Source organism: Homo sapiens, chromosome 18, assembly GCF_000001405.40.
Source record: "Homo sapiens chromosome 18, GRCh38.p14 Primary Assembly".
Classification (NCBI taxonomy): Eukaryota; Metazoa; Chordata; class Mammalia; order Primates; family Hominidae; genus Homo; species Homo sapiens.
Window position 1 is genome coordinate 30989365 of NC_000018.10, and position 13310 is coordinate 31002674.

Below are 13310 nucleotides of genomic sequence, written 5' to 3' on the forward strand. Positions count from 1 at the left end.
TATGTACGATTTCATTTATATGAATGTCCAGAGTAGGCAAATCCATAGAGACAGAAAAGATATCAGTGGTTGCCAGGGGATAATGCAGGGAGGGGAAGAGGAGAATGACTGCTTAAAAGGTTTCCTCTTGGGGTGATGAAAATGTTCCAGAACTAGATAGTGGTAACAGTTTCACAACATTTTAAATGTACTAAAGTCACTGAATTATACACTTTAAAATGGTGAAAATGATGAATTTTAACCATTCATAGCCATGTTTTATGAATTTTACCATTTTTTAAGTAAAGGGAAAAGAAGGTTCTGAGATTCAAACCTTTGCAATCAAAATAAACTGTCGAATACAGAAGCCCGTAAACATGTTCTGAATACTATTTAATTTTTCTGCCCATGAAACCAAGCCTAATTCTAAATAATATAAGAGCCAAAATAAACTGTCTAAGCTGGTATTAACCTTTTTCTTAAATTAAAAATGTTATCAGGTTGATAGGTGCAGCAAACCACCATGGGACACGTTTACCTATGTAACAAACCTGCACATCCTGCACGTGTATCCTGGAACTTAAAATAAAATAAGTGTTATCAATGTTCATTGTGAAAAAATCAACACAGAAAGAATAAATTATCAATTCCATTGTCTGGAAATCATGTTTCGGGATTATATATATGCACAAACTTTATTTCCCTAAAAAGAGATGAGATATTGTTCGGTAGTATATCCAACTACATAATTTTACCAACTACCTCACACTTATAATTCTTTTACTATGTGCAGGCAGTGTTCTATGTACTTTAGGTATAGTAACTCATTTAATCATTCAACAACCCCATGAGGCTGGCATTGTTCATTGATTTTAATGAGAAAGCTAAGAGAGGAAATAAGTAGCCTTTCAAAGGTCACACAGAAGTAAGTGACAGATCCAGGATTCATATCCAAGCATTCTGGCTCTAGTGTCCATGCTTCTCAACCATTATGACCCAATATTCAACCAAATCAATACTGAAGGACACGTGAAATGTATCCGGTATTTTACTATTACAAACAAAAATCCAATGAACATTCTTGAAGACATACACAAAAATAATGGTTACAATAGAAGTTACTGGAATTGAAATTTTGGTTCAACCTATATTAAAATGTAAGGCTTTTGATATAGCTAATAGATTTTTGAAATGATCAGTCTTAACGTTTGTAGGGGAGCACACTCCTGCATGGGGAAAAGATTCACTGTGAAGCACAGAGCACCTTTATGGTTGGATCATCTTGTCATTAAAGTTCAGGCGTTATCTATCCTGTAAGTGGCAGAATCAAGACTGCAATATCGCCTGCTTTTCTTTTTAACTCATGTTTTCCCTTGACTACACTGGTCCTCAAAGTAAAACCCCTGTGTCAGTGTACTATTCATGGAATACTCTGCAATTATAACCACCTTCTAATACTTTTAATACCCAATCAAAATTTATTATACATATGTATCATAGATACTCATCTGTAAAGCTGTGCTTCAAAATAGTGATCTCTTCCCAACATTACAATATATATTAATGATGTCGACAATTTGATAATGAAACATTGTCCAAAATATTCCCCATTAATACAACAAAGACATAATTATTTCTATTTCCATGCCAGCCATAAGCATAATTTTGCAAAGTGATCATCTTAGAATTATTTAATCTCTAAATACAGCAAAAACAAGAAACCAAGTTAATATTGTTTTATTACATCTCCCCACATCTGTAAATATTACTTTACGCATCCAATTTTTGCTTATTTTAAGCAGCCAAGTTTCTTTAAAAGCAAAGTAACTTCTTTTAATAGCAATACTAAAACTCTGTTTAAAACATTGCAAAACAAACCCCACTGCATTTTAGACAGCTGCTTCCTTATAAAAGTAAGAAAAAACATTCTGTATATTTACATAAAAAATTCTAAATCATTCACTGGGGGAAAAATGAAAGCTTTAAAAATATATTTTCTTGCACACTCAAATACCATAAATTTCACCTTACACATATAAGGAAATAATAATACTACATATGTGAAAATATAGAAATGAATCCCTAAAATTAAATTTTCATTTGAGAGAAAAGAATTACAAATTCGGGCATACATGCAGACCAGGTGGTTTTCAGCATGTTCAAAGAACAAAGAGATGGTTAGAGGTTTTATAAACAGGGAAGTGATACTGGTTGCTCTTTGAGAAAGTTTATCGGCACTAGTAAAGTCTTGGGGAGGTAGCAGGTTTTGATCGGTGAGTGAGGGAGTGAGCAAAACACAGTGGGTGTTTCAGTAGCCGTTAGATAAAACTGGCTTCTGGATACAGCAGGAAATTTCAGCAACTAGGCTTACAGAGAATTCCATTCTCAGACCAATATTTTGTGCCCTGAGTTCTTTCTCCCCCTGGCTTCTCGACTGTCTTTTGGTTGAGTATTTCAAGATTGATCCAATTCGTATGATCAACTTTCACACATGTTCAAAATGATTACATTAAAAGAAGACGACTTTAAACGGAAAACAAGGCCGGGAGCGGTGGGTCATGCCTGTAATCCCAGCACTTTGGGAGGCCGAGGCAGGCGGATCACGAGGTCAGGAGATCGAGACCATCCTGGCTAACACAGTGAAACCCCGTCTCTATTAAAAATACAAAAAATTAGCCGGGCGTGGTGGTGGGCGCCTGTAGTCCCAGCTACTCAGGAGGCTGAGGCAGGAGAATGGCGTGAACCCGGGAGGCGGAGCTTTCAGTGAGCAGAGATCGGAGCCACTGCACTCCAGCCTGTGCGTCAGAGCGAGACTCCGTCTCAAAAAAAAAAGGGGGGGGGGGGGGCAATAAAAAGTCTAAGTCTAAAACACATAGATTTTAGGGTCAAATTAGAAAACAGAAAATGTAGGAATAAATCAGAATTTTAGATAGGCATTTAATTCATAGACCTTCTTAGTGCCCAGAAGGAGGGCTGCAGAAGGAATACAACAATTCCCATGAATGCCTTGTTTGTTCTGCACAACCAGTTCAGGCTCATCCTGCAAATGCCTTCAGACTCATCATGCAGTCAGCTCTGTCTCCTTGATTTCTCACTCCAAATAAGGTGAGCCATAGAGAAGAGGTTGGCTGATCCCTCACCGGACTCAAATGGCAGTTGCCATTGGCCTGAGAAAGGAAAAGGCAGTGCCAAGCCTAGGAAAAAGTATGAAGCAGACGATGTTGCTTTTACTCCCACCCATATTCCTTGTGGCCTCTCCTTGCCCTTGAAGGCCTGCATCTTCCTGTTGCCCTCTGACTGTACAAATAACCTACTTGGGCTGCTTTCTCCCAAAGTTCCCTCTGTTCTAAAATGACAACTTGATCTTTTTCTTTTATACATTCAAAATTTCTATTTCTTCTATTATTTTAAAATTTCTCTGGAGAAAGCAAACTGATTAAAAATTAATTCACGCTGAAGGATGGTGGAAAACCTGGAGTCACTTAAGGGAATCTCTGCTGGAGGTGTTGCTTTAGCAGAAAGCCGAAAGAAGGGGGCCCACAAGGCCTGGCTTTCCTTGATTCAGGCCAATGCCACTCAGAAGAAGGGCAGTGAGGAGAAAAATGAAATTTTGTAGCTCCCAGACCTGATCAGGTGTCAAGTTTGTGGGGCTTAGGTTTAAGGACAATCAATCTCCCCAGGGTGCTTTCAGTAAGATCCTCCCCTCAGCTCCCTCTAGCCTCTAAACTCTAGGAGGACATGGTTATTTGGATCTAAATTAAAAAGATGTTGGTCACTATAAGAGAGAATAGAAACAGCAATAGAGGATTTAACTTCAGTAAAGGTAAGTTTTAAAATGTTTTTGTTATTAGCTCCCCGAAAAAAACACCTCATCTCTGGACCCTTGCTACCAAAAAGCAGGGAACCCCAGCTGCAGCGAGTATTCCCCAGTTTGCTACTAACTTGTGGATGCAGAAATCTTGAAACAGACTGCAAAGCAAAGCTACTGTTCCATTGGATTCCCTATTTCCTTCCCACAGAAACCAGAAAAGTTTAATTTATTTACAATTTTAAACAAATTACACAAATTGGACAGGAACTATTTCCTCATAGACTCAGTTATAATGCAGCATTTAAGAGCCCAGGCCTAGGAAGCTCTCTCTTTTTTCTATTGTAGGACAAACTATACCCCAGCCTCATTTCAAGTTTTTACCATTTTCCTCTTTGTTCTCATTTCATTTTAAATATTGCATTGATTAATAATAATATACACACACACATTTATTTCCAACTATATTCCTATAGAAAATTGCTACTTCATAGGGCACTTCAACACATTTTGCCTCCAAAGTCAAATGAATTTGGTAGTGCAGTAGGGGTGAGTCCCAATTCTTTATGAGCTGCAACATTTTTAATTTAATTCAGTCTTCATTGTTTCTTTTCCAAAACTTTCTTCACATAGTGATACTCAATATTTCTTGTTTATTTTTTAAACTATCACTTAAAGTGAATACATAATAATGTGATATTAGCATAACTTAGCTATTGTTGGACTAATATTTATCCAGCATATTTATTACTAAAATATCCGTAAAAAAAAAAAAGAGCAGATGCTTTAGAGACCTTAATTCCAGTGCTGGAGTTTGAGATTTACCAGTTGTCTGTTTTAACATTTTTCACTTTTTGGAAAAGATAAGCAACAACTTGCTTTAAAAATATAAATTGGTGAGTAGCATAATTCAAAATTGAGAAAAAAATCATCATATACATACATGTTGAAATTGAACTTTACAATATTATTTTTGGAAACCTCCAGAATGTCTGACAAAGACCTAATTGTAGCACTGTGACATTATCTCTTTGTGCATGCTTCTGCTAATGTAATAAATTTGGGTTCCAAATTATTTAAAAAGTCAAGGCCATCTTCTTCCTGCTTTTCACTGCAGCAGCCCACAGAACCAGCTGGAGATCCTCTTCCCTCATAGTTATAAGTGAGGACATAATCTTGGGATGGCATGCGGTCTTCATTCTGATTACATCGATGCAATTTCTGTAAAATTTTTTAAAAAATGAATTGCATTATAGTTTTAAACAACTTAAATATATGAACATAAAATTTATTTTTATTTACCTTTTATGTTTAATTTTTAACCAGTGTGTCCTCTAATGGATTCCTACACACAGAAAATGCAAATGATTGGTCTATATCACAACCATACCATAAAGTCAGTATAGTTTACATTTCTAGTGCTCCATATAAATAAAAAATTATGTATACAAGTTTTATATTTAAGTACATTCAAGTTGTCATTAAATGCTTATCCCTAAATTTTATACACAGAGGTCAGTCTAGTCTAAAAAATAGAGACAATAGTCATACTGGTTAGGAGTTTGAGATAGGATGTCAAACAGCCTTGGTTGTGAGTCAAAGCTCTGGCTTTACCAACTAGCTATATGACTTTGGGCAAGTGACCAAATATCCTTTAGTCTCAGTGACCACCTAACAAGATTATTTTAGAAATTAATGACAAAATAATGACGCATAATACACTTATTATGCCCAGCACATATTAAAGGTACAATACATGTTAACTTGAATCACTATTATATGCAGTTATAAACTAGGTAGGATTTACCACATTAACTTCAGAAGCAAGTTTCCAAGATACTCAAACATGGCAAAATATATACATGCATCGAAAAGTTCAATGAAATTAAAAAGAATGAACATGACCCATATTGCAAAAACTGGGCTTTTATAATGAAGACGCCATGCATTCAGCCACATCTACCCTCTCTGCCACTGGCCTGTCTGCCAACTCGTCAACTGCCATGTCTCCTCCCTTTCCTCACCTGTGTGCCCACTCCTTGCCTATGTGGAGTTCATTGGCATGGCTTACGTTCTTTCTTCATGACATTGTTAGCCTTACCTCCCATTACCTGGTGTGCAACTGAGGAACCCTCCTAAGACTATGTCTTAAGCTTCACTCCATCTCAACCTGATATTACATAAATACTGACTGTCTAGAAGTAGAAAAAGAATTAACACTTGAATTTGACCCTCCAAAATGCTATGGATACATAACCTACAGCCCTATACCAGAGTATCACCCATTTGCATTCCATTCAAGGATTAAAGGTCTACTGTTTGTCCTGCAATGGCACTGGTATCCTCTGATAAAAGAGGTAAAAATTTAGTCCAGAAGAGTGTCTAATCCAGTGGCTTTCTACCTAGCTGCACATTTGAATCATCTCGGAAATGTAAAACAAAAACAAAACAAACAAAAAACCCCAAATTCATTAAATTAGAATCTTTTAGAGTAGAACACAGCCATTAGTTATGTTTTAAAAGCTTCATAGAGGATTTTGCCAAGCCAAGTGGCTCATGCGTATAATCCCGGCACTTTGGGAGGCCAAGGTGGGTGGATCACTTGAGCCTGGGAATTGGAGACCAACCTGGGCAACATGGCAAAACACCTTCTCCACAAAAAATACAAAATTTATCCAGGTGTGGTGGTGTATACCTGTAGTCCAAGCTACTCAGGAGGCTGACATAGAAGGATCACCTGAGCCCAGGAGGTCAAGGCTGCAGTGAGTGGAGATTGCACCACTGAACTCCAGCCTCAGCGACAGAGCAAGACCCTGCCTTAAAAAAAAAAAAAAAAAAAAAAAAAAAAGAAAAGAAAGAAAAAAGCTTCTGCTTCATAGGTGATTTTGGTATGAACAGAGAATTCCTTATTTTAATTCCTTCTTTCTTTCATATTCTTGCTTTCCTTAAAATAAAAGCACTTTACATTCGCATGGTGCTTTGTATATTTAAAATATGTCCTGCAATGGTGACTATAGTTAATAATAGTATATGTTATATTTCAAAATTGCAAAGAAAGTACATTTCAAATGTTCTCACCACAAAAAATAAGTATTTGAGGTGATGCATATGTTAAGTGTGATTTAATCATTCTACATTGCAGACATAAATCATAATATCACTTTGTGCCCCATAAACATATACAATTAAATTTTGTCAATTTGCAATAAGATAAAAATATATATAAATCATGCTATTTAATCTTTATCCTAAAACTGCATACAAATGTTGGTGTTTTCACAGAGAAATACAGATTTCATTTGAAAAGTTTGTAATTGTGAGGAACTAGAATTACTTTCACGATCTTCTATATCAAAAGGGTTCATGAGGTAAATACACAACTAAAAATGAGACGTTAGTGAAGAATATTAAAAACATCCTATATTTATGGGATTTTATAAATTAAATGAAATATGAAAAATGAAATAAAATCTCTTTTAAATTAAATAATGTAACAAAATCAAAGAGCACGGGAAAATGAACAGAGCAAGCAAGAGAGAGCCCACAGAAAAATACAGAAAATATATGTTAATTTGAATTGTCTATTTTTCTCCATTCGGAGGTTTAAATTTTAGACTCAAAACACCTAAGGAAACTCACTTCACCGAGACGGGGTTGAGTAAAACTGTGCCACTCCGAGTAAGTGTATCTGCAGTTGTCCACCTCCGTGTGTCCTCCCCTGCAGGAGTCCAGGGTATGATGATGCCCAGCCCCCCGGCAGGATTCCAAGGTCTGGTTTCCTCCTTTCATCATTTCAATGGTTTCCTGCCCTCCATTTTTCATTCCTGATCCCATAGTACCACAAAAACCTTGGCTAGAGTTGTTGGTAGTTTGGGTCATAAATCCATTGGCAGAGCACTGAAATAATAAAATGAAATAATTCATGTTGAGAGGAAATGGATTCTAAGTTGTCATGAGAAGGCAAAGGAGAGAGAATATTTGTTCAACCTTTTATTCATTCATTCATTCATTCATTCAACAGACATTTATCAGTTTCTAATTATGTGCCCAGATACTGTCTTCATTCATTTTGTGCTGCTATAACAGAATACCTGAGACTGGTTAATTTTTAAAGAACAGAGATTTATTTCTTACAGTTATGAAGTCTGGGAAGTCCAAGATCAAGGAGTTCACATTTGGCGAGGGCCCATCCCATGGCAGAAGGTGGAAGGGCAAAAGAGCACGAGTGAGAGGGAGAGGGAGAGAGGGAGAGAGGAGCAACAGGGGGCTGAACTTGCTTTTACAATAAGCTTTCATGATAATAAACCCATTCTCATGATAAGGACAGTAATCCATTCATGAGAGCAGAGCCCTCATGACCTAATCACCTACTAAAGGTCTCACCTCTCAACACTGTTGCATTGGGGATTAAGTTTCCAACATATCAGCTTTTAGGGACAAATTTCACCATAGCAAATGCAAAAGCCTAGGGATATAAAGATAGACATAGTCTCTCGATGGCTCCAAGAAGATCTTATTCCAGGGAGAGAGAAAAACAAATACTTTGAGAATGTGATTACTCTACTATGTGGGTGAGCACAAAATGTTACAAGAGCACAGAAGTAGAGCATTAAAATTCAAATCCAAACAGGGTAGGTGGAATAGAACAGGTAACTGGAAAAACTCTGAGCTAAGAGACTAGGGACTAGTAGGAGTGGGACAAACAAGGCAACCACTGTAGAAGGGTCTGGAGGCAAAAGGCAAACAATGTCCTTCAGGGGTCCCCAACTTCAATCAGTTGAGAACAGCTACCACATAAGATTAGGGTTGGGGGGAGTTAGAAAGGTTATAAAAGGCCATAAGATATAAAGATCTATATGCTATGCTAAAAAAATAGACTTTATTATGAAGATCACAGGGACTGTGAAGAATTTTAACTCATTACAGAGAGAAACACATTTCAAAAATATCATTCTAGGCAATAATGTGGAAGACAAATAAGAAGACAAATTTAAGTTCATGGAGATCAGATGGGGGTCACTGCATCTGATCTGATCTGATATTCCAGGTAAAAATGATAAGGACCTAAGCCAAGGAGGAAGCAGTGATGACTGAAAGAAGTAGATGGACTCCACAGAGAGCCTACAAGTATCTAGATGGATGAGGCAATCAAGGACAGAGTTAGAAATTATTCTTTTGTGTTCCATGAAGGCAAACAGGTAGATGGTACAACTCACTGAAACAGGGAGGAAAGATGTGCTTATGGGCAAGAGGAGAGTGAGCAACTAAAGTTTGAACATGGTAAACATTAGAAACATGTGGGATGTCCAAGATGAATATATGAATATGCGGATTTGGAACTCAGATGAGAGATTTGAGCTGGAGATATAATTCTGGGAGACACTCCCAAATAGGTGATAGTTGAGGCCATGGGAATAGAGGACCTATCCAGAGAAAATTGTCAACCAAAATAAAAAAGGGCTAAGGATAGAACCACAAGAAAAATCACATTTTAAGGGGAGGGTAAGAGAAACACAGCTGTGACAGGCCAGATCTGAATAGCCACTGAGATAACAGAGAAAACCAAAGTGGCAGGACCCTGAAGCCATGAAGAGAGAATATGGTAAGGAGTGGGAGCAGCCAATGATGTTAACAACAACAACAGAAAAATCACAGCAAGGTAAGAATGGGTTCAATTAAAGTATAAGCGCCCATTGGATTTAAGTGAAAGAATAGCCATTGATGAGCTTTGCCAAAAGAATTTCCAGGGAGTGCTGGGTAAGCAGGAAGGAGTATTATAGAGAAATCAAATATAATTTTTTCTTTCCTAAAGTTCAGTTTGAAAGAAAAAGAGAGATGTGGAGGGAACTAGAGGATGACAAAGAGTCAAGGAAATGCTTTAAAATGAAAAAGTCTTCATTAAACATTAACTTAATACTGGAACTTCACTCCGACCCTCTGAGCCATAGGACAGAAGTTTAGTTACAGTGGTAACCTCGACATGTCAGTTTTCATTACAAACAGTTACATTACTTTCAGGACAAGAACCTCCATTACATTCAGGTTCCTTTGTGCCACCTTCCTATCAATTTAAATTTTTTTCTACTTAAAATGCAGTCTTTAACTAAATTGAAAGATTTTTCAAATACAGATGATTTATTGAACCTGAAATATATCTACAAAAGTCATACTTACTGTCGCATTGCCTTAGAAAAAAATACCAGAAAAAAAGAATTGAAAAGTAGCCATTTGGTGGCAGTGCTACCCTACATTTTTTTATTTAAGTTGCCATTACAATAAAATTCAATTACAAAAAAGGAAAAAAAAAAACCCTCCTAATTATTAAATCTTCTTGATGGTATAATTTCGTTGTAATAAACACAAGTTCAAAGATCATATTTCTAAGTGAATAAAAGAGGAATTTAAAATAAACTAAAAGCAATGCTGAGCCTACAGGGCTAGCTTTCATACTTTTATTCTCTGCTCCTTTCTGTCCTCCTCCATCCACATTTCCCAAAGTTCCTTCTCACAGGGTATCAACAACTCTTTATCCATGTCAATAATTTCTAGGTTTACTTTTCCAGTCCTGATTATTCACCCAACTCCTAATCCCATGTGCATGCCTTCAAGTGAAATTCAGATCCAAAGCTAAAATGATCACTTTTACTCATTGTATTAAAGCAAGTTTATAGATTCAAGATGAAATTTTATGTTTTTGTATAAATTAATAATTCCAAGCCCCTTTTAGAAGTGTTCCTAACACAGAACAGGTACATATTGTGAAATGGCCACTCAATATCATCAGCTCTAGCATTAAATGGCAAAGAACAGATATTAAGTAAAAGTCATCCATGCCGGTCTTAAAAATAAAATAAGAACTTACTATGAGTCAAGGACTGTCAAGGGATTAAACCTGCTTTCTCGCTGGAGAGATCATCACAGGTTTCTACATGTAGGCACGTCAAGCATAGATGGGCTATGATTTTGCATGGTGGTGTGGAGGAGTTGAAGAGAGAAATAGTGAATAAGAAAGGCATCTTCACCCCGAGACATAGAAAAGGCTGGATATGTAGTCGTTGTCCCTGGCTATAGCCTCTGCCACTTTGACTCTGCTTTTTACTTTGTTCCTTAAGTTCAGTCAGTCAACAAGCTTATCCTTTATACCTTTGAAATATTTCTTATTCATCCCTATCTTAATATAACAATTACCATCATCCTGGTAGAATTAACTCATGCTTAAACTAAGCTTTCATCTTCCCCAACCCTGATGTCTTCCTATTCTCACTGATCCCCCTACTGACTCAGCTTCACGCTGCTTGATTATACCTCTCTCCTGTAGAAAAGCCTTGGCTGGCTCTCCTTTACCATGAGAATAAATCCGAAATCCTTAGTGCAGCATTTAGAAGTCCTATCTCCCACTTGTTTCTTAATATTCTCTTCTCTAACACCGAACTTGTTTCAAGCCTCTTTTCCAACACATGATTTCTTCTATTCTAAATCAATTTATTTATTATTTGCTAAATAGCCCCTAAACTTTATCATCTCCTGTCTTGTAGGCTATGCTGTTTTCCTCTTCTTTAGCTATTCTCACCGTCTCTTCACTTTCAAACCCTTCTTATTCTTTAAGTTACCAAGTAAGCTGTACCTCTTGTCACCAGCCTTTCTGGTTGATCCAAACTACATGAGTACATTTAGGTATCATAGGTGTTTTTGAACTCTGACAGTGCTTTATCATATTGGTTTATTGTCATGTTCCTATTTTGCTTTTCCATAAAGTAGGATCTATTTCTCATAAATAAGTTGGCATCTTTTTGAGGTAAGAACATGCCTTGTAAGTACTTTTGTGTATATATATATATTTTGTGTACATATATATATACTTTGTGTGTATATATATATACTTTGTGTATATGTGTGTGTATATATATACTTTGTGTTTATATATACTTTGTGTGTGTGTATATATATATATATATATATATACTTTACACAAAACAAGAAGCATAAAAGCACCTCAGAAGTCCTAAGAAATATATAAGGAAAGAGAGTGGCAGTAATCTTCCAAACCCCTCTCCCTTTCTTTTAGATATATCTCATTGATATTTTCCTAGCTATCTTGAGAACTTTTAGCAAGCTTTTTTCCCCATTATAAATGGTCAACAAGTTACATAAACAAATTATATCTGGAAATATACATTGTAGAGTGCAGGCAAAAAAAACTATTGTTATAATAAATACTCAACATCAAAGAACAAGTTTAAACTATGACACTAGAGTGGAAAAAAGATAACTAAAATAATACATCTGGATTAAGAAGTTTAATAAATTACCACTATATAAACATATGAATATTGACAGACAATATCTATGCCTATGAAATCTGATTCAATTAAAAATATAAATTAACTCCTAAATTTTGAAATGAGTTTATGAGGATGAATTAAATTATCGGAGATACAAATACATATTTATTTAAAAATTACTTACCACTCTATCGTCTCCAGGTGCTTCTGTGTTTGATATAATTAAGTTTTGCTGTGCTAAATCTTCAGGAAAACGTTTCCCTTTAGTTGCACCAAAAACTCCACATACTAAAGTTAGCAATACAGCTGAATTTAAAAATAAAAATAAAATAACTTACTTTAGCATACATAGAATAAAATAATCATCATTTATTTCTTACGACCTAAGGATCAAAGTGGAAAATAAATCCACTAAGCATGGTTTCCCATGAATTATCTTGGCTGTTCTAAGTTAACATGTCACCAGATAGCTTAGGTTTTAGAATCAGAAGCAATCATCTGTATTTTTTCATTATATCTCACTAATTGAATTCTGCCCATCAAAATAAAGTACTTAGAATTATGAGTTAAGCAGTACATAAAGAAAAAAAATCACTGACATTTAAGACAAAGACTTTGAAAAAATTTACTGATTCCCCTAAAAATAATTTTCCTACATGAAATGTAAAAAAAGAATTGTGTACATAAAAACATGAGAAAAACAGACTGCTTTCCTAGAAAAGATTTATCTTTATTGAAACTACTTTGTATCTTGCCTATTAAGAATTCTTATTCTAAATCATAATTGTGGGAGATTGAAAATACATGATAATTAAACTAAGAAGAACAACAACAATTCTTCCAGTCTAAAAGACCCTATAGTGCATTGGCAAAATCCCCAAACCCAGAGCACTACATATTTTTGTATGGCCTATGAGCTAAGACTTTGTATTTTAAAATGGTTGAAAAAATTCAGAAGAATAAGAGTTTATAATGTGAAAATTACAGCCGGGTGCAGTGGCTCACGCCTGTAATCCCAGCACTTTGGGAGGCTGAGGCGGGTGGATCACCTGAGATCAGGAGTTCGAGACAAGACTGACCAACATGGAGAAACCCCGTCTCTACTAAAAATACAAAATTAGCCGGGCACAGTGGCACATGCCTGTAATCCCAGCTACTCAGGAGGCTGAGGCAGGAGAATCACTTGAATCTGGGAGGCAGAGGTTGCAGTGAGCCAAGATCTTGCCATTGCCCTCCAGCCT

The 13310-nt window shown here is 36.1% G+C and overlaps 1 protein-coding gene across 2 annotated transcripts in view, besides 1 other annotated feature; it reads right to left on the reverse strand.

Moving 5' to 3' along the window:
- DSC3 (desmocollin 3) overlaps positions 1-13310 on the reverse strand; it is a 53378-nt gene continuing 40068 nt past the window's right edge. The window contains exons 14-17 of one of the 2 annotated variants that reach the window (NM_024423.4): positions 12254-12375; positions 7427-7684; positions 5090-5132; positions 1-5008 (exon numbers count right to left, since the gene is read on the reverse strand). In NM_024423.4, the coding sequence (NP_077741.2) occupies positions 5106-5132; positions 7427-7684; positions 12254-12375 (407 nt within the window). In that variant the 3' untranslated portion in view covers positions 1-5008; positions 5090-5105. The remainder of the gene's footprint in view (positions 5009-5089; positions 5133-7426; positions 7685-12253; positions 12376-13310) is intronic. The other variant, NM_001941.5, reaches the window with a different exon arrangement.
- Positions 7822-8396: an enhancer, noted in NCBI's record as "OCT4-NANOG hESC enhancer chr18:28577152-28577726 (GRCh37/hg19 assembly coordinates)". NCBI's record gives its function as "activates a minimal SCP1, AML or CMV promoter by ChIP-STARR-seq in naive H9 embryonic stem cells {active_cell/tissue: H9 hESC(naive)}" and the evidence as "EXISTENCE:reporter gene assay evidence [ECO:0000049][PMID:30033119]".